Raw genomic sequence first — 23,443 nt, 5'->3', positions numbered from 1 at the left:
GATTTGTGACGTACAGGTCAATTAGTTGTAAGGTTTATTTCGATGTGTTTTTTAGACTCAACATTCCATAAATTTAGGAGGCTAAAGAACCTAAGAACGTGTTGAGCACTGGAGGTACCAGGTATAAGAGCGGAATAGCCGCCATCACACAAGATAGTACCTTCTCCCAGAGTCTACTGGGAGACTTATCTCACTGAAAACGATTAGCTAATGGGCTACAGTCAGATGTCTTCTAGAGCTCAGAGGTTACATGATGGCTAGACACTTTGTTAGCAGGAAAGTGGTAACTAAAAATCAGAGAATTTATTTTTAAAAATGTGTGTGTAAATTTGGGTGGGTTCCCAGTGCTGTATTGACTGTGCCTATTTATGACAGCAGGTTAATTCACTTGTTATGGATCAATGCGTAGGATTAAAGATTCTTAAATGGTCACACCTGAATGTTTGTAAAAGTTGTCATTTTCCTTGCTTGCTATGACTCTAATGGGCTTGAAAATTGGTCCAGCCCGCCTCTTCTCTGTTTCCTTTCTCTCCCTCCTCTCTCTCTTTCTTCCTTTCTTCTTTCTCTCCTCTCTCTCCCTCACCTTCCCCCCTTGTCTCTTTCTCTCACTCTCTGTGAGGTTCATTTGCTTGACTGATTCTGAGTGTCCATAATGACTGTTTGGCATATTCTACAGGCAAAGGTCCCGAGACTCTTTTTGCTGGCTATAACCTCAATGATAACGAGTGGCACACAGTGCGTGTAGTTCGGCGTGGAAAAAGTTTAAAGTTAACAGTGGATGACCAACAGGCCATGACAGGTAAACACCTCTGTCCCATTGTCTTTTCCTATGCTAACGCTTTTGACTCTCATTTCTTGCAGGTGGTTTTGCACACCAAGGCTGGTACACAACTTGAAATGTATTCACACAATCCATTTTTATTCTATTTTTTTCTAGTAACTATTTTATTAAATAAGCAGTCTGTTAGGTGTTTTTCCTCAAAAATGACACATTTTATGTCATATTCTTGGCCCTTTAATAGTGCAAGAAGAAATTATAATATATTTTCTTTTGTGGCCTGATAAATATCTTGGTGCCTCATCAAATATTGCAGTCATGTTTAGATGCCAATTTCTGTTGAGTTTCTTTGTTTTGTATATATTTTGGCAATGAACAACTGCAAGTTTTACCTTTTAACTTCTAGGTAAGATGATAGATATACTGGCGTTTATCTATCTGGCTTTCAGATGAAACACTTTTTCATTTTAAGCTATAATAGATTATTTTTGGCCACTCAGCTCAGTTGGTTAAATTCTAATATTAAGGATGTCAAGTTCAACCCCCATTTTTAGATTCCTGAGGTGAGCTGTATGCAGGTCCACCCTAGAAACATAGGAAAGCCTCATGGAAGAAAAATCCTTTTGCCTTTATTTACTTTGAAAACAACTCCAAGCACGTGACCCACTGGGATATTAGCTGCTTTTTCTTTTTTCAGAGAGATAGCCATGTTAATTATTCTGGTAAAAAGCACAAAATGGTCCTTGTACAGTGGATACGTGTCTGTTCATTCAATTCGAAGGAGGTCCCCATGCCCAGAGAACAGTCAACTGTGTCAATGTGGATATATTACCTACAGGATTTTAAACTTTTGAAACAATCGTTCCTTAACTTAGGAAAGGAAGGTAAAAAAAATTTACAGGGCAGAAGAGTATCATTGGAGTTCAATTAGTTTTGGTCTAGGACAGTTCTTTGAAGAGGAATGAATTGTTTCTTAGATCAGCATCCACAGTTTGGACAACTGGGTTTTATCAAAAGGCATGGAAATGAACAGTTAGTATCTAAGGTCACATGTAAGAGTTTGGGAAGAGGCAGCTGCCAACGGCAAGATCATGCCAGAACTACAACAGAACATTTTAAAATCTCTGAGTGCCTCTTGAATATTAGAGTCCTATGAAGTAGATAGGACACACATATTCCCATTTTGTAGATGAGGTAAGTGGCACTCGAAGAGGATAAGTGAATTATGTTTTATTGGAATGTGTTACGAGATCTGAGGAGAGAACCTACGTTTATTTTTTTGTTTTGTGTGTTTTGGTTTGTTGGTTTTTGACTTACCGTCCCTTGCTTTATATTTGTCAATATCTAGTAAGTGTATGGCTCTATAGAAAGTATTTTATCAGACAATGCATGATATTATAAGGCAAATACATACATACATATAAAACACAGATTATTATAGAGGGTGATATGTTACATAGAGTAACAGATGAACTACTGAATGGTTGACTTGAGTACTTTATAGTCTTGGAGTTCAGAAGAGAAGTTAAGGAACTTGGTTTTGGGTATTGTTTAAAGCAATTGATAATGTTTGATCTAGGCTTTAAAGAAAGGATAATGCAAGAAAGAATTCCAGACAAGAAAGAATGATGCTGGTGGGGCTAGAATAATTTTCAGGGAACTAAGAAGCTTTATTTTGCTTCTTGCAAGTGCATGGTGCTAGAATGGCCTTTTGAGGCCAATGACTTGATGGTCTAGATGAAGTAGTTTATATTTCGTAGACTTTCAGGAAATTGGAAGTCACTGCACTTAAACTGAAGAGTAAGTGGAGAAAATATGTTTTGAGCGAAATTAATTCTGTGGCAGTGTTTTGGATGGTCTAGGGTGTAAAGTAATAAGTCCTGTACTGCGGTGGATGTAGCAGGATGAAAACAAAAGAATGGTGAAAAACATTTTTTTTAAGAAATGTATTTTAGAAAGTTATTTCAAAATAATTTCAAATTTATAAAAAGTTCCAAAAATAATACAAAGAATACCCTTATACCTTTACTACTGTGAACATTTAAGCCAGTTTGTCTTGACATTTGTGCTCTCTCACTGTCTCTTCTCTCTCTAACTTTTCTCTTAGCCAGTTGAGGGTAAGTTACATACACAGTGTCCCTTTAACCCGAAATACTTCAGCATGTATTTTTTAAAAATGGGAATATCCCCTTGCCTAAGAAATAAAAGCCACTGACTTCAGTAAAGTTTGCATAGATAACAATTTATTTTTCTAATCTGTAATCCATATTCCAGCTTTGTCAGTTGATTCAATGTTATCAATACGCAATAAGCATTTTTCCCCTCCAGCACAGTGCGCAGTCTAGGGCCAGCTATTTTTTTTTTTTTTTTTTTTTAGTTGTCATGTTTCTTTAGCCTCCTTTAATCTAGAACATTTCCATAAACTTTATTTGTTTTTCATCACATTAACATTGTTGAAGTATATAATCTCTTCCTGCTTTGTATTAATATAAAGTCACCAGTTTGTGCTTATCTGATATTTCCTCATGACTGAATGTATATTTTACATTCTTGGGTGAAATACCGCGTTGTTGATGTTATGGCCTCTATACAGTATCCCATCTGGGGCATACGCTGCCCATGTCTTTGGTGATTTAATTTGACCACTTGGTCAACATGTTGTCCAGTTTCTCCATTGTATAATTACTACGTTTTCTCCCTTTCAACTAATAAACTGTCTGTGGGGAGACATTAAGACCATGTAAATATCCTGTAACTCATCAAAATTTTGCCCTAGATTTAGTATCTATTGCAGAGTTTTGCTTGATTCAATCTTTACTCTGAGAGTTACAAAAAATGATTATTTTCAAACTCCAGCACTCCTTCCACATTTACAGTCAATGCTTAGCATTCTGCTGTAAGCAAGGGCTCTTCCTTCTCTCTCCCTTCTTTCCTATTTTTTTTTTAATTTTTCTTTCTTTTCATTTCTCTTTTTTTCTTTCTTCCTCCCTTCCTTTTTTTCTTATTGTTGTAGACCCACTATTGCTATGTTTTTATAATACTTCATAATTACGCTATCTTATGATTTTGGTGCGCAAATGTTTTTCAATTTTTGCCAGTGTGAGTTTCATTAACTTGGCCTCTATGATCTCATGACATGCCTTCATTCCAATTATTTTTTTAGCGCTTTCTTATTTTTTTCTTTCTTTCTTTTTTTTTTTGTTTTTTTGAGATGGAGTCTCATTCTGTCACCCAGGTTAGAGTGCAGTGGAGTGATCTCAGCTCACTGCAGCCTCCGCCTCCTACATTCAAGTGATTCTCCTGTCTCAGCTTCCCAAGTAGCTGGGATTACAGGCACATGCTATCATGCCCAGCTAATTTTTGTAGTTTTAGTAGAGATGAGGTTTCACCATGTTGGCCAGGCTTGTCTTGAATTCTTGACCTCAGGTGATCCACCCATATTGGCCTCCCAAAGTACCGGGATTACAGACATGAGCCACCGTGCCTGGCCCTTTTCTTACTTCTCGGAATAACAGGATGTTCCAGGTACAACTTTTGTCTACCACACTTCGCCCCTAGAATTAGCCATTTAATTTCCATTTAGTGAGGAATGATACAGACCAAGATTTGGGTGGTAGGTGACCTCAGTGCTGCTGGGGTATCATTGCTACTTGACCCCTTCAGCAGACAGAGATAAGAAATGTATTCAAGTATATATACCTACACCCAAACATACATGTAAATGTATCTACACACAGACATATACATTATATGTACATATAAACATACACATAATGCACATTTTATAAAGTGTGAGTTTACACTGCTACCTTCATACCTACAACATTGTTTCGTTATTTTTCCCATTCCATACTTTCATATGTTTTCATCCAAGATGAGAATCCTGGCTCCCAGTAATGTCATTTATTGATTTGCTTAATCCAATAATGCATCTAAAATAGTTTCAAAATTGCTTTTCCCGTACCACTTCTTATATTCAGAGCTAAGGAGGATTTGAAGCAGGGGTTAACCATGACTCGTGTGTGTGTGTGTTTGTGTGTCTGAGTGTGTGTGGGTATGCGTGTGTGTGTGTATTTATTCCCTTTGTGGGTGCAAGAGATTGTAGAGTGAACTAGGGCAGTTATAGTAGTTCTGCCTTCTTAGTTGAAGGCAACAAATAAGTCAGGATTACTTTACGACTGTTTGTCTCATTTCTTCCTTCCTAAGACTTAACATCAAATGCTGAGTTATTTTTTAAATACCTTGGGTAAATTGTTTATTTTTTCCCTCCTTCCTTCCTTCCTTCCTTCCTTCTTTCCTTTCTTTCTTCCTTTCTTCCTTCCTTCTTCTTCTATTTTGTCAGAGATCTCATGAAAGCCAACAATTCATAAGAATAATTCAGTCTTGATTTACGTAGTACATAAAAGGCTTCCAAATGTGGCAATGAAAGCTTTAGATTGAGATTTCCTTCAAATATCCTAGTGGCCACTTGAAGCCACCCATAAATCAGAGAAGCAATGGGAGTTTCTTATTAAATTTTACAGCAAGTCAGAAATCACTGAATGAGAAGAATTTCTGCAAGGAAGGTACTAGAGACTCTTCATGCAAAGTCCTACATTTTCCCATATCTTTAAGTTTTATCGTAATTCTATTAAGTCAGTTATCTGTTGAACACAGGGCAGTACATACTCAAGCTGTTCTTGGGAATGTTTGCACCTCACCTAGGATCGTGAGGATAGTATTTGCCAGCAGAGAAGCCCAAGGAAGGAGATTTCCTAGGTCATAGATGACAAGGGGTTGTACAAATTTTGTGGAATCCCTAAGTGGGAAGTCACTGGGCTTCAATTCATCATCCAGTCTGTGTAAAAATCTAGAATTGTGTTTTTTTTTTTTAATCTGTGTGTGTATGTCCTTTATGGAACAACATTCACCATATATCCAGTTACCCAAGCCTGAAAGCCAGGCATCATCATTCCCTTCCTTCATTCTGCTCATCATTAGTAAATCCTGGAAATTATATCTGTGAAATTATCTTTTTGTTGATGATTTTCATTTCTACTATAACTGCCCTAGTTCACTCTCCAATCTCTTGCACCCACAAAGGGAATAAACACACACACACACACACACACACACTCACACACACACACATACACGAGTCATGGTTAACCCCTGCTTCAAATCCTCCTTAGCTCTGAATGTAAGAAGCACTATGAGAAATCTGGACCCTGGCGCTCCCGCTCCTTTCAATCCCATGTGGGTCACTAACCTACTTGTTCCCAGCTCTCCAGCCATGCTCTGTAGCTGTTTGTTATCCAAAAGCCTTCCTTCATCCGTCTCCCCTTCCTGGAATCCACCCTTGATTCCCTTTCTCCAATTCTTAACAGGGCTTTCTCTTTTTAATTCTTCAAATCTAGCTTAAATATCAAACCTGGCATCTTCTTCCATTTCACATTTACCAACACAATACCTCGTTCATCAAATTCATAACATTTCTCTGAGTTTTGTTATTATAGATTTAATTACAACCTTAACCTCTTTTGTCTGCCTTTCTCCCGTAGACCATGAGTTTGGAGAAAATGGGCCCTTTCTGCCCCTCTCAACACTATTTCTCCAATACCAAGGCTAGCACCGGACACATATACCACACAATCAGCAATTTTAAGTGAATTAACAAGTGGATGTAAGGGAGGGTTATTTTGCTCGACATGAGAAATGTAACCTAACGCAGAGCACATATTAACCTTGCTATCTATTTTGGTAAAAATATTTGACTTGGAAATATTGAGATTTCTATACAAACACAGCATCTAGGAAACATGTTTTGGTTGTTGTCTTGTTGGAGATTATTGTCAATCTGTTATACCTTAAATATTGTGATCAGAGGCATTTTGCTTATTCCAAATTTTCCTTGGATGGTGCATTTTTAAATCATTAGAACATTAAAAATCTTTCCCCTTCGAAGTCTTATAATTTTTTCTTATTTAATCAACAAATATCTACAGTAGTAGAAGTGGCTGTATTACTGATGAGGATTAAACATTGGAGTAAAATTCTGAGAAAAAATAATTTTTTAAAGAAGGCAACAATCAGTTAATATTTTCTTAGTCATCAAATAATGGCTTTTGGGGGCTAATTCTCCCCAGTGAACAAATATATCTACCATCACTGTAATTATATTTTTTTTTTATCTTGTAACTGGGCCATAGTTGCTTCAATGCTGTTGTACTACCTTTTTATTATTTATGCTCTGTGTGCATATTCTATTCCTTTGAGAGAGGAAAACAGATATACTGTCTTATTTTTATTACTGAACTCCTTAGTCTGGAATTAACTGGTCTTTCCTCTTTTAGAGCTGGTAAGAACTTGACAACTGGAGGTAATATTTAATTTCAAGTGTTAGAAATATTTTTTTCAGAATTTTTTTACTATTGGTTGTTTCATCAATAGAGACTTTAAGATGAAACATGACAGTTTCAGGATCAGGGTAGGGGTCACTGAGTTAAGGCTCATATTTTAATGTGGCATAGAATAAAAATCAACCCAAAGGGATATCAAAGCCCATATGACTTTTTTTTTTTTTTTTTTTGAGATGGAGTCTTGCTCTGTTGCCCAGGCTGGAGGGCAATGGTGCAATCTCAGCTCACTGCAACCTCCGCCTCCCAGGTTCAAGCGATTCTCCTGCCTCAGCCTCCCGAGTAGCTGGGATTACAGGCGCCCACCACCACGCCCAGTTAATTTTTGTATTTTTAGTAGAGACAGAGTTTCACCATGTTGGCCAGGCTGGTCTCAAACTCCTGACCTCAGGTGATCTGCCCCCCTAGGCCTCCCAAAATGCTGGGATTACAGGCGTGAGCCACCGCATCTAGACGATTTTTAAGCTTCTCATATTCTTCATTGTACTTAGCTTCTTAATTCAATGTTGCTGGTGTCTTTAGAGCTTTATATTTGGAAATAATTAAGGATTAATTTTATTTTTTACCAAAGAAGTAGATCCCCACAGAACAATATTGAGGTCATTGAACAAGAAGAACTGGGGGAGAAGATAGAAATGATGTCACAGGAGAAACCAGAATTGACAAGGATGTAATAGTACTTTTGCATCAGATAGACAATCAGGAGGCATGGTAGTGAGGGTAGAGAGAGACGAAACAATTATTTATGGTGACATTTTTGTTTTAAAAATGTTTGCAGGAAGGGAATCAGAACAAACCAATGGCTGAAAAGAGAACATGCCAAGGATGAGTAGAATGTTGTTTCCAGGATCAAGACTAAAAAAGAGTGTTTGAAAATGAAATAGGGTTAAGTACAGTTCAGGGGAGTTTTGTGTACAAATATATGTATAATCATCAAAGTCACTTAAGCAAACATATAAACAGTTTTTGTTGCACAACAAAAAGCATGACGTCTAAATTTTACTTACAGATATTTCCTTAAACACTGTCTAATATTTTACTGTCTTGACTAAAGAAATGGAAATTTGTCAAACTGGCCAAAGGGGACACACATAGGTGGTTGTTCAGTCTTCATTACCCCTGGGGAAAAGGTTCAATGCATTTTCTCAGGGGCTGATTCTGGGATTAGCTCTAATTAATATTTTCATTAATAATGTGGATGATGGAAAGAGGTAACTTGAAACATTTTCCAATTATGGCAAATCGGGCAGGGAAGCTAGCACGTGGAAGAACTTGATTACAAAATAAATGAGCATTTTTAGTTGCAGAAGAGAGTGACTGACAGTTTATTTAGACAAGAGCAAGATGTTGGGTGTGAATCACTGGTACTGATACAAGTACCTTATATTTATGTTGTGTTTTAATATTTAGAAAACAAGTTCACATCTTTGCTTATTTATCTTACCTTCAACCTTGCAAACAGGTAAAATGATCACTCTGGAGATAAAGATGGGACTAAGTTTGCTATTAATGGGTTTGACAGGGAAATATGCAGGGATAGAGAGAAATGAGGACTGAGTGGAATAGTCAGTTGCTAAATAAATTTGCATCCAAGCTTCACCCTAGGATGTTTAAAGAAGATTTTTGCCTTGTGGTATGGGGCATGGTGGGCCAATTTTACTGGTATTATCAAAATTGGGCAAGCTTTCAATTAGTGTATTTTGCTTGATTTAGTTATAGAAAACTTAAGGACAAAAAAAGGCATAGGTGAAGAAATCAACAGGATTTCTAATGTATTTAGAAGACTAGCATGAACAAAAACTATGGTCATTATTGAGCACGAAGAGGGAAAGTGAATAGTGTATATTTAACTTCAAACACACTTTCATGTTTCATTACTGGAAGAAAGGGCTGCAACTCTCCACTCTTTCTACTGGGTATAGGAAAATATATAGTCACATTTTTTTTTCCTGGAAGAACATTTATAAGGAATAACATCACCTATCCATGAGGCTGAGATGTATCACTTTCTAGTTGGGTGACTGAGAATAGTCACTGCTCCTAATGCGTCTCTCTGTGCACTCTCCCTTCTTTCCTTTTTTCCTCCCTCTCCTTCTTTTACTATGTGCTCACTCTCTTGCTAATTTGTTTATTTTTCGCCTTTAAAAGATACCATTACTTTTGTTAATGAGGATATTTTTTGTTAAGACTAAAATTTGGACAGGGATTATAACCTGGCCTAAGAATGTTTTATTATATAATCTAGGCTTACCTTTTGGCATCATTTAAGTGTTCTTCCTATATGCAACTGAGTACCAAGGAGGGATTTGGCTCCTTGTATTTTAGAATGTGATATTGTTATGAAAGCCTAAAGTTGAAAGTGCCTTTCAGATACAGAAAATAATCATATATTATCTTCTCTTTTAGGTCAAATGGCAGGTGATCATACTAGGCTGGAGTTCCATAACATAGAGACTGGCATCATCACAGAACGACGGTATCTTTCTTCTGTCCCCTCCAACTTCATTGGACACCTGCAGAGCTTGACATTTAATGGAATGGCATACATTGACCTGTGTAAAAATGGCGACATAGATTACTGTGAGCTTAATGCCAGATTTGGCTTCAGGAACATCATAGCAGATCCTGTCACCTTCAAGACCAAATCGAGCTATGTTGCCTTAGCTACCTTGCAAGCCTACACTTCTATGCATCTTTTTTTCCAGTTCAAGACAACATCCCTAGATGGATTAATTCTATATAACAGTGGGGATGGAAATGACTTTATTGTGGTTGAATTAGTTAAAGGGTGAGTACATGCCTGTTCAATAGCAAATAAATAAAACTTTGGAAAAATGGACGTCAATTTCCAAAAATATACACTAAGAAGAACATACTGGCTCATAAGGTGGTGGGCCGGAGCAGGTGGAGGACAAATAAGAAGGCATTTGTTTAAATCATCTCTTAGGTATCTTAAATTAATATGGATTTAGGACAGTTTTTTGCACCTACATTTTCACATATGAGATACAAATTACATTGGGCTCTAATTTATGGTAGGCATTTCATGAATGTTACAATTCAAATGGGCATTTCCTGACTATGCACAATGTAATTCCACAAAAGCATTGATACAGGTTTGTAGGATAGTCTATGCTAAATTAAATAGCTAATTCAAGTACTCAGATTGTTTAAATTTCAAAAAAACCCTTTTAACTCAAACTTCATTCTATGTCAGAGTGCCTTAGAGAATTTAGAAAGGAAGATTTGTGTAAACGTGCCTTAAAACTGTGAGGAAAATTTAATGTATTTTAATTGATTTCAGCATTTATTCACTCATTCTGCAAATATTGGTGTATATTTACAATATGCTACATCAGGTGCCATGCACGGATATAAATATATATACTTCTGCCACCCGTATGCACATCTCAGATTTCTACCACTGTGAGTCATACCCACACACACCAACATACAATCCTAGGGTTTGTAGATGAACACATAAACAGAAAAGAAAAGAAAAGCACTGTGACATGTTTCTTGAGGTGATCACATTCAAAGGCTCAGGAGACTCTTCAGGTAAATTAGAAAAACATGTGGAGCAGGGAGTGGCTATCTGACCTGGATGTTGAAGGATGAGTACACGTTCCCTATCCTCAAACAGGGAATCGAGATAGAGGAGAAAAGCAAGTGCAAGAACGAGAAGAATGGCCATTTTAAGTGTTAGAAAAGGATGGAGGGAATTGTGGAAACAGGGAGCGCGTGGTGAAAGATATTGCTTTCCAAATTCATAAAGTTAAATGTAGACCATGATTTTAAAAATAATTTTCACTGTTTCCTTTAGTTAAAACACTGAATAATCCTCTTTGCTGAAACAGAATAGTGTTTGTTACCTTCTTGATAGCTGAGTTTCTATGTAACTTATTGTCATGACTTCTAGTAAGGATGGAACCACCTGAAAAAAAATCTCCATTTGTAATATCTACTTTAGGTTCATCAAAATTTAAAAAGTGATGGCACTTTCCCCTCTTTCATTTTTTTCCCAGGTACTTACATTACGTGTTTGATTTGGGAAATGGTGCTAACCTCATCAAAGGAAGCTCAAATAAACCTCTCAATGACAATCAGTGGCACAACGTGATGATATCAAGGGACACCAGCAACCTCCACACTGTAAAGATTGACACAAAAATCACAACGCAAATCACCGCCGGAGCCAGGAACTTAGACCTCAAGAGTAAGTGCATGTTAAGTCAGAGCAACGAGCCTTGCACCACACGGTCTCCCTTCACATGGAAAATCCTTTGCTTAGGGGTGTGTTTGTACCTTCTGCAAAGACTGACCAGAATTTCATTTTCAGCACATAATTAACAATACAACACACAAGCCTCTGCTCCCCTTTAATGTGGTAGGAACCTATGTATTTTTAATAACAGCTCAAAAAATGCAGCACCTAAGGAAGCATGCATGATTAAAATGTAAAAAGTGAGAAAAATATAATATTGGTCTTGATATTAAAAAGGCATTTGTAAGTTACTTAAGTCCCAACAGTTTTCAATTGATTTGGAGTCAGGGAACCAGATATATAGGAGCTTATTATAGAGCTTATTAGTTTTCTTTCCTTGGTAAGGTTTCCTGGATCCTAAGTCCCTGACCAACAGGAGTTTGAGCCTGGCTTAGAAACCCTGTGTCTCCAACAGTGAATTCTATCCCCCATCCCAACACACACACACACACACACACACACACACACACACACACCACACACACACACACACACACACACACACACACACGGAATGCTTCTTTCACCAGCTGCTAAGAAAGTCTTAACATACGCTTCTCTTCCTTATTGATACTTCATTTCTCAAATGCACGTGACAAAATGCTGAGAAAACATGTCAATAATAGAAGAGAAATGACTGAAGTTTCTATTTGAATCACATTTTGTGATTCACTAAGAATATATGTGTGTATCCCATCTAATTTAACACTACAACAGGCATTCCAGAAAGTATTATTAGCCTGTTATTCTCAATGTAGAAAATCGGAGGAGGGGAGTTAGGAAACTGGAAAGAGAAAATTTAACTCTCTTTTTTTTTTTTTTTTTGGAGACAGAGTCTTGCTCCGTCACCCAGGCTGGAGTGCAGTGGCACGATCTCGGCTCACTTCAGTCTCTGCCTCTTAGGTTCAAGCAATTCTCCTGCCTCAGCCTCCCAAGTAGCTGGGATTACAGGCACCCGCCACCACGCCCGGCTAATTTTGTGTTTTAGTAGAGACAGGTTTTTGCCGTGTTGGTCAGGCTGCTCTTGAACTCCTGACCTCAGGTGATCCGCCTGCCTCAGCCTCCCAAAATGCTAGGATTACAGGTGTGAGCCACTGCACCCAGCCTCAACAGAACTCTTTCTAGAGAAAAATGCTCTTTCTAAACAAGGTGAAAGGAGAAAGAAAAGTGTTTTGCTTTCTGTAATTGCAGAATATATTTTGAATCCTGGGACTTTATTTGCTCAACATATAAAATGTGTGGTAATGGCCGTCTCCCTTCTTTCACAGTGGGCTTCTTGCTAACTTCAAAGAGATCTTATTTGTACCCACAAATCTAATAGCTTGGCTCAAAAAATAAAATGAAATTCAAAGAACTGCTTCTTACAGGCCAAACCTCTTTCTCTTTATTCCCTCTGATTGAAGAGCTTTTTCTTCTGTATTTTTCATGGCCCCCTGTTTTGCACAGTGGGCTCAGGTGGTAATTGTCAAAAGAAAGGGAGAGATTGTAAAATCCAGTGTGCTGATCGAGTCACCAAAGCTAAAGCAAAAAGTGCCCTGTTTGTGTAGGTGAGACGTCAGTAAGTATAAGTGAACTTCACTGGAAATTAGGGATACTCTGTTGGAAATTAAAATGGCTAAAAAAAAAGCAGTTTATAATTGGTTGAAGTATGTGGCATGTACAGCCCTACACATTGAGGGTCCAGAGAAGCCGTGTGAGACAATGGATTGTATTTCTTCAGATAGTTAGGACACTGTCTCCTGAGAAGTAAATATCTGCTTATTTTTCATTAACAAATGGAAGTGAAGGTAATAGGAGATTGTAGACTAGGATTCTTTCTGGTGGGGGTACTTACACACCTAAGTACTTCAGAGTTTATTTTTATTAAAGCATTAAGTGATGGATAACTCTGAAGATAAAACAGGCTTTGCCCATAATAAAGAAAAAACACTGTAAGTATGAACTTAAAAATGGCATATTACATAGTATTAAGATATATAGTAATGAACTCTCAGTGTACTTGTGTTTTTTTAAAAAGCACAATTAAAATTGTTTGTGAATTTCCCATGTGAAGGGGCTAATCATTAGTATAGAATAATACCTTCTGCATTGCAGAAAAGTAAGAGCAAGTTTCTAAAATTAGTCCAAGTTTGAGCTAACAAATTGGGTATGTGATCCGATGGCAACAGTCATCCCACGGTGCCTCTTATCATGTGCACCATCAGCTAGAGGGAGTTTGAGAACAGCCTGCTGTGGGGCCTGATGTGTCTTGTCTCCCATCATCACCACTTTGGGTAAGGGTGGCTGTGGGCATTGGCCAGAGCATGAGTATTTATGGAGCATTGACTTTGGAAAGAGGACAACAGGGTTTCTGCAATGCAAAGCTCTCCGTCTCTATGAGAACACTGGCGTTGAGGGAGCACTTATAGGACAGAGAAGGACAGCACTTTTAGGTGCTGTGGAGCTGTAGTGGGGCATTGAAACCAAGCTGGGACCACCTGGAAGGCTTTTTTGCAGCAGTAATGTTTGAGGGATATTTGAAGGGTGAGCAAGAGCAACGAGGCATTTTTTTCTTTTTTCCACCTGGATGCCTGCTGGAATTTAGAGGGACTTATTCATAAAGGAGAACTTCTACATGAACTCTTCGCTCAGACATGGACAGCAGTATTTTCTTTGCATACTAATCATGTAGCACTGAGCTGCAGGAAAAATGAAAGTTGACCTGTTTTGGTCAATAGATTGTATTCTTAAAGAATTAAAGAAAACATCAGATTTACTCTCCATCCTGCTGAGAGTCATTGCAGCCATCTTTGGTGCTTCTCAAAAGAAGGTCAGCCAACTTTAGCTACTTGAGAATCATGTTGTGGTGTTTGCGAAGTTCATATTTCTGGATCCTATCTCAGACCAACCAAGGCAGTAATCATTTGAGAGAGATGCACAGAAAACAGGCATCTTTCTTTTTAAAGTGCATTGACTGATAGAGATGCCATTATTTCAGAGTCCTGAAATAATGCAAGATCTATGTTGAGGCCAAATTTAACTCACTTTTAAATTTTTGTATAAATCCTGGTTTTGCTTTTATTTCAGAATGTTACTGTTTTTTTGTTTGTTTTACCAGCCCTGGGCTGAAGTCACATTGTTGGCTGGTTAGGATTATTAGGAGAATTTTTTTTATCCTCCTTATGTTTTACCATACCTTAAAAAGACACTAGAGGGCAGCAGAAGGCCACAAAACATGCTGCATAGGACCCGGGAGTTGGGGAAACCTCAACCTGCTCCGTTTGCAAGGGGAAGTAGAATTTCTTTTGTTTTCAGACATCTAAAATTCCACAGTTGGCTTTTATAGTGATGCATTCTTTTGTCCGTGGCTCTGTTTCATTATAGGAACAGGACTTTAGTGTAGAACTTTGAAAACTGGGGCTCATGTATTTCATTCTCCACCTTGACTCCAATAGAAACGATCAGAAATGGGTAGGAATCTAATGATCTTTCTCTCAGAAGATAAATTCCATGCAGCTGGCCTTGTTCAGCTTATCTCTCATGACACCGCTCGATTCTCAGGGGGTTGTGTGTCTCTTCCTGCTGATACAGTTTTGCTTTCATCTTTATTTCCCAGCTGTTTGTGTTCTATTCCCTCTGGTTATTATGTACAAGCAGCAACATGCAATGAAAGGAGCAGCAGAAATTTGCTCTCTGGAATGATTTCCTAGCCTAGCTTTGTATTCATTTTAGGACTTCTGAGCCCTGCCTTCTTTAGAGAGATAAATGGTTGGTGCGATTCCTCCTTGTGTTCCTTCTCTTGTTCCTGTATTTGGCAAATTTGTATGTTAGGATGTGCATATATATGGGAGGGAGCTAATATTTATTAAGTGCCTACTAAATGCTAAATAGATTTAACTGAAGTTACTGTATTTAATCCTTGCAATTACCCAGGGATTTAAATTGAGGTCAGTCTTGCTCATTTATTAATCTAGTTGAGGGAAAAAATAGGGAGGAAGAATTGCTTTTGGCCCCCACCTTCAATGAGTACCCTTCTTTAAAGCATTAGCTAAGTTTATCCTTCAGCAAATTGAGGATATATATAGTTTACTTGATAGGGGGAAAATTAAAGATTCCTAGCTGTGTAGCATAGAGTGCCCTCAGGTGGCCACCTAGCAAAACTACATAAAACTGAGTACAGTGATTTATTTATGGGCCACATCTAGGTCAGCCCAGGCAGTACTTTGTCCTTTCTTCCTCCTCTGTTCTCCCTCTCAAACCCAAAACTCCTTCAAGGATTTTGAGCTCTGGCATTGTCTTCATTGTCTTCTGATCTTGCCCCTTTTCCTTCTTACCAGGATCATCACCCATTTATCTCCTCCTCAACCTTCCTAGTATTCCTCCTTAAATCTCACCCTGAAGGCAACTGCCTGCTATTGTTCATCCTGCTACGAAGCCACTTAAATGTCCCTAATCAGAAACAACTCAACAGGGACTTTCTTTTCAAATATACTCAACCTCTAAGCAAAGTTTGAAGATAAATAGTATTCTTGCTCTTTTCTTCTTGATCTCTGACCAGTTGCTATTACTCAGCTCCCTGCCCTCTCCAATCCTGAATATAACACATATCCCCTCCATTTTATACCTTTTCATGTTGCTACTTGACAAATCTTTACTGCTGTCATTCAGTAAACCAGATTCTATTCAAAGTCATAATCACATTTAAACATGCCCAGGCTTTGTACATTCAGCCCACAGGACATCTGACAGCCCACTTGTCTTGCCCAGATACTTTGTTTAAATAGAAAATATTCAGGGAAGAGTGATGTTGAGCTTAACGTTAGAGCAGGATATGGCACCGGAAGTGGAGGGAAGGTCCTGCTGTCCTGTGGTTAGGCCATCTTTATTAGTTTCTTGTTGTTGCTGTTTGAGGTTACTTTTTTTTTTAGTCTATATAAGGGAAAGAGATTTATTAACACTATTTCCATTTGTAGATTATTTTAAGGATCCAGTAGGAAGTAAGACAGACAAGAAACCCTTTCAGCTGTTGAGCAATGAGGCCTCACAGAGTATAAGAACTTTGTTCTTGGAGTCATACTGGGATCTCAAGAGCCATCCTCTTGGTTTTTCCCTCGGATACACATGTTCACTGCTCCCTAATCCATTGCCCCACCGTGACAGCAGTGCAGCCACCCTCGCTCTATTCTGTCTGCTGGCACTGCTGTGAGATGGCTCCTCTCTGCCTGCTGGCTTCTTCCAATCTTGGCTTCTTCTGTCTCGTGGCTTACACCTATGGCTTTTATTCCTGTGTATGTTTCCACTTCTGTCCATTCACTGCTTCATCTCACTTTCCAATTCCCCCCAGTACAGGGTTTAATACAGTGTGTGGACCTGGGTCTAGGCTATAACTTCATAAGCTTTTCCCCTGCTGCTACTGGCTAGGCTCACTTCTTTAGTCCAATTACACAATTACACAGAGGTAGCTTTTTGAACTTGAAAGGGAAGAGAAGGAGACTATGGGTTGGAAGGCCGTCTGTAACCCCTGACAAAAGAGCAGGGTAATTTTCTCATTTTGAAGGGCCCTGAACGCCATGCCAGAAGATGGGAAAGGTGAAATTAAAGGGTTTTGAGAAGCAGAGGAGAGTTCACAATGCTCATTAGAATTATTCCTTTGGCTTCAATGGGATGGATGAGCCGAGGTTCAGGGAAAAGACACCACTTTTGAGGCAATTGCCATGGTACAGAACAAAGACAATAAGTTTCTGAGTATGTAGAAATAAGACTTGATATATTGTTACTCCTTTCCTTACACAAGAATTTTAGAGCAGTTACTTGAAAGACAGACAGAGATGTGAAACTGTTTCTCTTCTGCCACATCCATTGAATCCCCGGGTTTTGCAGAATTTGTCTCAATCTGTTCTCCGTACTGTAAAGCCTTTGTCAGTGTGTTTTAATCCTACCTTAAGGAGGCGGGAAGTTGAGAGTGGGATTAAAACATTCCCTTCCCATGCAGTTATCTGGGACCTGCTATCCAACATTTGGTTTGGGAGTTCTTCCCTCTGCTTCCCTGTGGTTCTTGGCCCAGCTCACAGTATTTCAGCAGAGTGTAAATTCTTTATTCTCTACTAAAAGCATTTTTTAAAAATTCCTTCACCCATTTTACTTGTTTCTGAATTTTTCTGACATTAACCATGGGTTGTCTATATTTAGTTTTATCAACTCCCTCCAACTATATTATTTGAAATCTCTCTTCCCACCATTAGAATCACGTGAACTTAGGAAGTATAAGTGATCTTGGGGATTGTCTGGTGTGACCAATTCCTTTTACAGATGAGAGAAATCTGCTCAGGGGAGGTTGACCTGCACAGCTATCCCAGTTTCACATTTCTTTACCATAGCTCAGAAGATAGAAGTTGCGTTGCTCATATCAATCTCAATTGACTGCTAGTGACAACCTGCAGCAACACACTGAAAAGAAATCTGCACCTTTGTGTGGATTCATTGGTGAAGATTATTGGTGTGTTCAGTCACAGGCCCAAGATGGAGATTGGTAGCGAGAGTGCCACCTATTGACTCTGCTTTTGGTGAAACTTTAAAGATCCCAACCCATCCCATTTGCAGATGCATAAAGCCCTGGGGCTGGTTTCTTCTCACCCAGCACACTAGCTGAACTCTGACAGCCACAGGCCTTGGCTTCCATGCTTGGAACAGCCACAAGGAGGTTGTGCACAGGGAGAAATAGCTTTCTTCAGCTTTTCCACGCCAAGTGTGGGCTACTGGAAAGTTCAATCCTATGCCCAGATGCCTTTCATGATAAGCTGACAGTTTACCACGTCCCAGCAGGATGGTGATTAGATGGCTTGAGCTCTTCAAGGTGGTGACATTTGTGCCTTGGAGCAGCAAGTACCTGCAGGTGCTCAGAGCTGAGTTCTCAAAGGTCAGGTGACTGCTCACAAGACCTCATCGTCATCCAGAGATGAGCCTTTGGTGCAGGTCCCTCTTTAGGGAATGCCAGGAGTGGTGATGCGTTGTCTTCTTAGAATTCGAGCTTCTTGTTCAAGAGCTGTCTTTGTCAGCCATCTGAGAAGGCAGATATCTGACAATATCTCTCTCATTCAAGTAAGATTTAAATCTTCAGGGTTTTCCTAGCTCTCAGACCTCCCTCCTTTTGCTGAAGGGAGACTTATACAGAAGTCTTTGGAGTACAGTAGCATAAAACCATTCAGACTGACAAGTGATGTGGAAAGGGACAGGGAGACAGGATGTAGCATTACAGGAACCCACGGACAAGAACAGAGAAAGATCAATGCTGGGCTCCATAAAAGGCGTACTCAGGAAAGCTCTTAGCAATAAGCCAGTGTTGCAGCCTCACTTGGTCTCTACTGGGGCTGTGAGCTGCCTCCCAAAAGCTGCCCAAGGATCATTCCCTTGTTCCTCTCCTGCTCTGCACACTAGTTTTCTCTGCTTTCACAAGCATTGGTAAACTTGGCCTTCTCAGACCTGGCTTTTCACCCCTGATCAACTCAAACACCCAAGAAAGACTCGTTTAAGTTTAGCAGTTCTAGTGCCAAATTCTTGGAAGAGTACATTTGATCAAGACAGATGTCCTCCCTGTGCCAGGTTGAGGGAATAAGAGACAGAGTCACATTATACAAATATGAGTTTACTGGATTTGTTTAAAGAAATATGGGGATAGGCTACTTGGGTTATAAATGAAGATATCAAAGGCTCAAAAAGTGTGATTTTTAACCTGCTATGCAAGAATTCAGGGACAGGGTTTGCCTTGCTCTGGAGTAGGGGGTGAGGATAGGGCCTAAATTCTTCAAGGTGATAGAATACTAGGTGCTAGGTGATACCCAAATGTTTAGATGATGAAACTCATAAGTGCTTGAGTGAGCAGCATTTGTTTTTGGGTGGAGACAGAGACTTTGTTTATACATAGGGAGTACATGAGGTAGCAAAGCCAAGCAATAGTCAGAGGTTCCCAGGAATTCACAGGAAATGCCAGAAGAAGGAGGACCTTAGATTTTTACCTTCTGTGCAGATGCGAGGGTCCTAACCAGACTCATCTAGATCTGTAATGGACAAAGGGGCCCAGGCTGACATCTGGGCAATGTTACAGTTGTTTACTATATTCCCAAAAGGGAATGTCACTATCATTTTCAGGCAATTGTCTCATCTAGTTGGATTTCAGTAATAACACAGTCCCCGCCAGAAGAAAGCCAGCTTCCATCCCGGGTACTGTACAATTCCTCTTGAGCCATGGGTCAACATGGAAATAGACTTGAAAGTTGGGTGGGCTTAAAACAAAGTTGCTGCTCCCACGGTAGAAATGCTCAAAAGCTAAATCTGCCATCTTTATCCACACAGGAAAGTGCATTTTTAATGACATAGCACTGTTGTGGCTCTTTATTTTCATGCACTAGAGGGTACTTCCAGTGCTCCTTAGGAACCACATTAGGTCAATCAGCGTCCCCCATTGACATCACATGAATGTGGTTTTCTGTGTCCATTCTTAAAAGTGGCCCCTTTTTGGCCTTTGCAATTAATTATTTTGGTTGTTCGTAAGGACAATACAAGAAGCATATAGCATTATAATTAATAATACAGTCTTTGACGTCAGAAAGACCTGGGTGAAATAGCATCTCTGCCATTTCTTTTGTGTATTTCCTTAGGCAGGGTATATCACTATCACCATCATCATCACCATCATCCTCATCTACCTTTACTAGGCATTAGGTAAGACAGCTACATATATTTTCTCTTTAATTTTTGTGACAAACTGATGAAGTTGCTGTTCTTATCACCATGTAACAGGTGATGAAACTAACATGAGGCTTGGGGAGGTTAAGCATCTCACCAGAACAATAATGATAGTAATACTAAATAGAAATTATTGTAACCATTTCTAAGGGTTCGTCGTATCTCATGTACTGTTATAAAGATTTGCACATGGTATCTCATCTCAATTAATTCCCAGAACAATACACAAGGTTTGCCAGTGTATTCTTTGATGCTCAAGGGTTCATAAAAAGGACTAGGAGGGCTCATAAGGCTCATTTGGATCTGACAGGTGTTGGCAATATTTAGGCCAATTTCCCATAACTACCCTAGTACAAGCAGAGCCCATTTGCCATCTCAAGTTTATTAGAGGTTGACTAGTATGATGTTAGTTATCAATATTCCTAACCTGTCTGTGGGAAGTTCTCTCCTCCCTCTCCCCTCCTCATGCCCCACTCACACTCCCCTACCCACAATACACAGACTCCTTAGGCCTCTCACCACTGGCTTCCCCTTAGAGTTCTGGGACTGTAAAAAGAATTCAAACACTATAAGGGCCTGTACTAGTGTACCATTCTTTCTCTAACACAACAGCCCTTTGACAGTTAAAAATTTAACATGTGTAGTTCCCGATATTTTTTGTGAAACCCAATGAACTCAGTTTCCCAAAATGATATCCAAAATGACATTAAATGTCTTTTGGCTGCGACATGTGTGAATCATGCACATCAATAGAGTGGTATTGTAGAAAACTGAGTGTTTTCGTGAGAAAAACTATCTTATGGCTTGGGTCTGTCTGTATTCTCTGTTCAAAGATATAATAAATTACCTTCGTTATTGTCACCATCATCCTCGTTATTATCAATTATGTCATTTATGCATGCCTATATGTCATGCATCATGTTAAGGGCTTATGTGTGAAAGCATTACATTAAATAAGTATGATGTCCTAATGTGGTCAAGCTATAATATCATTTTTTGGTTTTACCGCAACCGATCACTTTAAAATGTATTGTGTTAAGGTTTTGTACCACGTACTGATTTAGAGTAAATGTTTGGGTTCACTGTTAAGGTAATTATATAATAATTTTATATTATAAAACATAACATTCATTAAAATTACAAACCACCAATCTGAGTTACTAATCAAAGCTCAGAATTGAGGCTGCCCTCTGCTTTGGTCAGTCACTGGCAGTAGGGCAAAGGGCAAGTTCGGCTACTGCCTTTTCCTGCAATTATCTTTCGACAGCTTTTTGACAAGGCACATCAACTGATGTTGGGACTCTTGGTCTGGCAGATCCCTCGAATTCCTCCTCTCCTGGTGCATTCTTGGGTTCATCCAAGGCTTTTCTGCTAGAACTTCCAACCTTAATCCCTGTGTAGGGGGATGCTTCTGCTCCCTCCTCACAGACTCTTACCACATGGGCTGACCTGTCTCTAGGCAGTCCTGCCCAGCTTGCTGTCATGCACTTGGGGCCTATCTCGGCCCACGAGGAGTTTCCATGGATCCTTTGTCCCCTCAACCTTGGAAGTGTACCCCATTCCCAATGCTCTCATTTCCGTTCCATTCCATCTTGACCTCTTTAAAGTTTTCTCAGCGTGTCGGGTGCCAGTTCTGCATCCTCCAGTGGTCGGGAACGCAAAGCAAGCACTCCAGGAGACCCTCCTCTGAGAGCTGCCTTGCTAGGCTTGGAGCTAGAATGTAGGAGCACAAACTCACTGCATAGTACGAGCTACTTCAAAAAATATTCTCAGACACCTTTCCTTCCCATTTCTGATCCATTTTATTTTTATTATTTCCTTAATGTAGCTGAGGGGTTCAAGGGCCTTAGAACCAGTATTTCACCTGTTCCTTGATAAATTTTGAATCTGGATGTCTGTCTCATTCTCACATTGTCTGATATTGACTGTGTTGGCACTTCAGTCAGAAATTCAATTTTAGTATTTATTTTACACATACGGTCTCTGAATCCTCACAACAATTAGATCAGTGAATTATTAGTGCCCCCATTTTACAGATGAGATAATGGAGACTTGGAAGGCTTAAGTGAGTTATTCATTTGTCACGTAGCACAAAGCAATAGAAACAGAATTTGAACCCAGGTCTACGGCAGTATTTAAATACTGCCATCTGTATTTGCCAAAATATTTGAAAGGATTACTTCTGAATGTCTACAGTGAAAAGCTAACATTTATTTTAATCTTGGGGGGAAATATCATAAAATAAAACACTTTCTATTCCATAAAAAATCTTAATCAAGCTTCTACTTTTCTACTACATTGTATAACATTGAAAATTCCACTTCTGGTAGTTGCAAAGGAACTGGATATTTCCACTTTACTTTCTATATGCTCTTCTCTCCCCAATGCCTTGCATAGCATCTATATATTGGTTCTGTCTTCTTAGCCCCTGAAGTTCTCCTCAAACAATACAGCTAACAACTTTAATTGCTGTGTGTCCTTTATATATATTCTGCAGAACATTTGCATTTATAGGTATGTAGAATAGGCTCTGGAAAATCTAGTACTTGGTTGGGTGATTGGGGGTTGGCCTATCAATCAGTCATCGGCTGGTGCAAACTGGCTACTTGCAGGCTCATTCAGCTCTCAAAGCCCTTAATTTCCTTAGCCTTTAGGAAAAGTTCCTAACACTTCCCTGACCTGGAGGAGGGATCCCTGCTTTTAAGTATCTCCATTTCTCCTTAAGAATAGCTTATGTTGGAAGAACAAAGTGTTTGGAGACATGCACTAGGAAATTACACTATAGCAACTGGATGTGATGACCTTATTGGTATTAATAATATTCCATCTTTCGAGCACAGAAGGAATTCTTTTTTGGAAAAAAAAATACAGAAATGTTCAGATACTTAAGGAAAAACAAGAGTGTGATTTGACTCCAGGAAGCTCATAATATTTTGAAAGCTCTTTGGCAATGTCTGTAAGTTTTTTTGTGTGTGCTTTATACTACTTTGTCCTTTCAAGCTACACAGAAAACCACTGGTGGCTATAACCTTTTTTATCCTGTTTATATCTAAGTTGAGAGCCGGTGCCAATTTTTCACCTACATTAAAGAGACGTATTATAGGAAAGAGCTGTTCTTTTATATTTGCCCTTTATACCACTGGGTCTTCCCCACCCAAAATAAATGTTCGTTTGTTTTGAAATAAGAAAAAAACCTGTCTTTCAAATAAGAAAAGTTATTTTGGGAAAGAAAGTCTAATTGTTCTATACACTATTCGGGAAAAAATAACAGCTTTACATAAGTTC

At 39.0% G+C, this 23,443-nt stretch overlaps 1 protein-coding gene across 15 annotated transcripts in view; it reads left to right on the top strand.

Moving 5' to 3' along the window:
• The window catches only part of NRXN1 (neurexin 1), a 1,113,630-nt gene that overhangs the window by 524,839 nt on the left and 565,348 nt on the right, over window positions 1–23,443 (top strand). For all 15 annotated transcript variants that reach the window (NM_001330096.2, NM_001330087.2, NM_001330083.2 and 12 more), the window contains 3 exons: window positions 677–799; window positions 9,580–9,961; window positions 11,199–11,389. In NM_001330096.2, the coding sequence (NP_001317025.1) occupies window positions 677–799; window positions 9,580–9,961; window positions 11,199–11,389 (696 nt within the window). The remainder of the gene's footprint in view (window positions 1–676; window positions 800–9,579; window positions 9,962–11,198; window positions 11,390–23,443) is intronic.

The sequence above is a fragment of the Homo sapiens genome, chromosome 2 (genome assembly GCF_000001405.40).
Source record: "Homo sapiens chromosome 2, GRCh38.p14 Primary Assembly".
Taxonomy (NCBI): domain Eukaryota; kingdom Metazoa; phylum Chordata; class Mammalia; order Primates; family Hominidae; genus Homo; species Homo sapiens.
The sequence above is the reverse complement of the archived record's forward strand: the minus strand, read 5'-3'. Positions and strand labels throughout refer to the sequence as shown.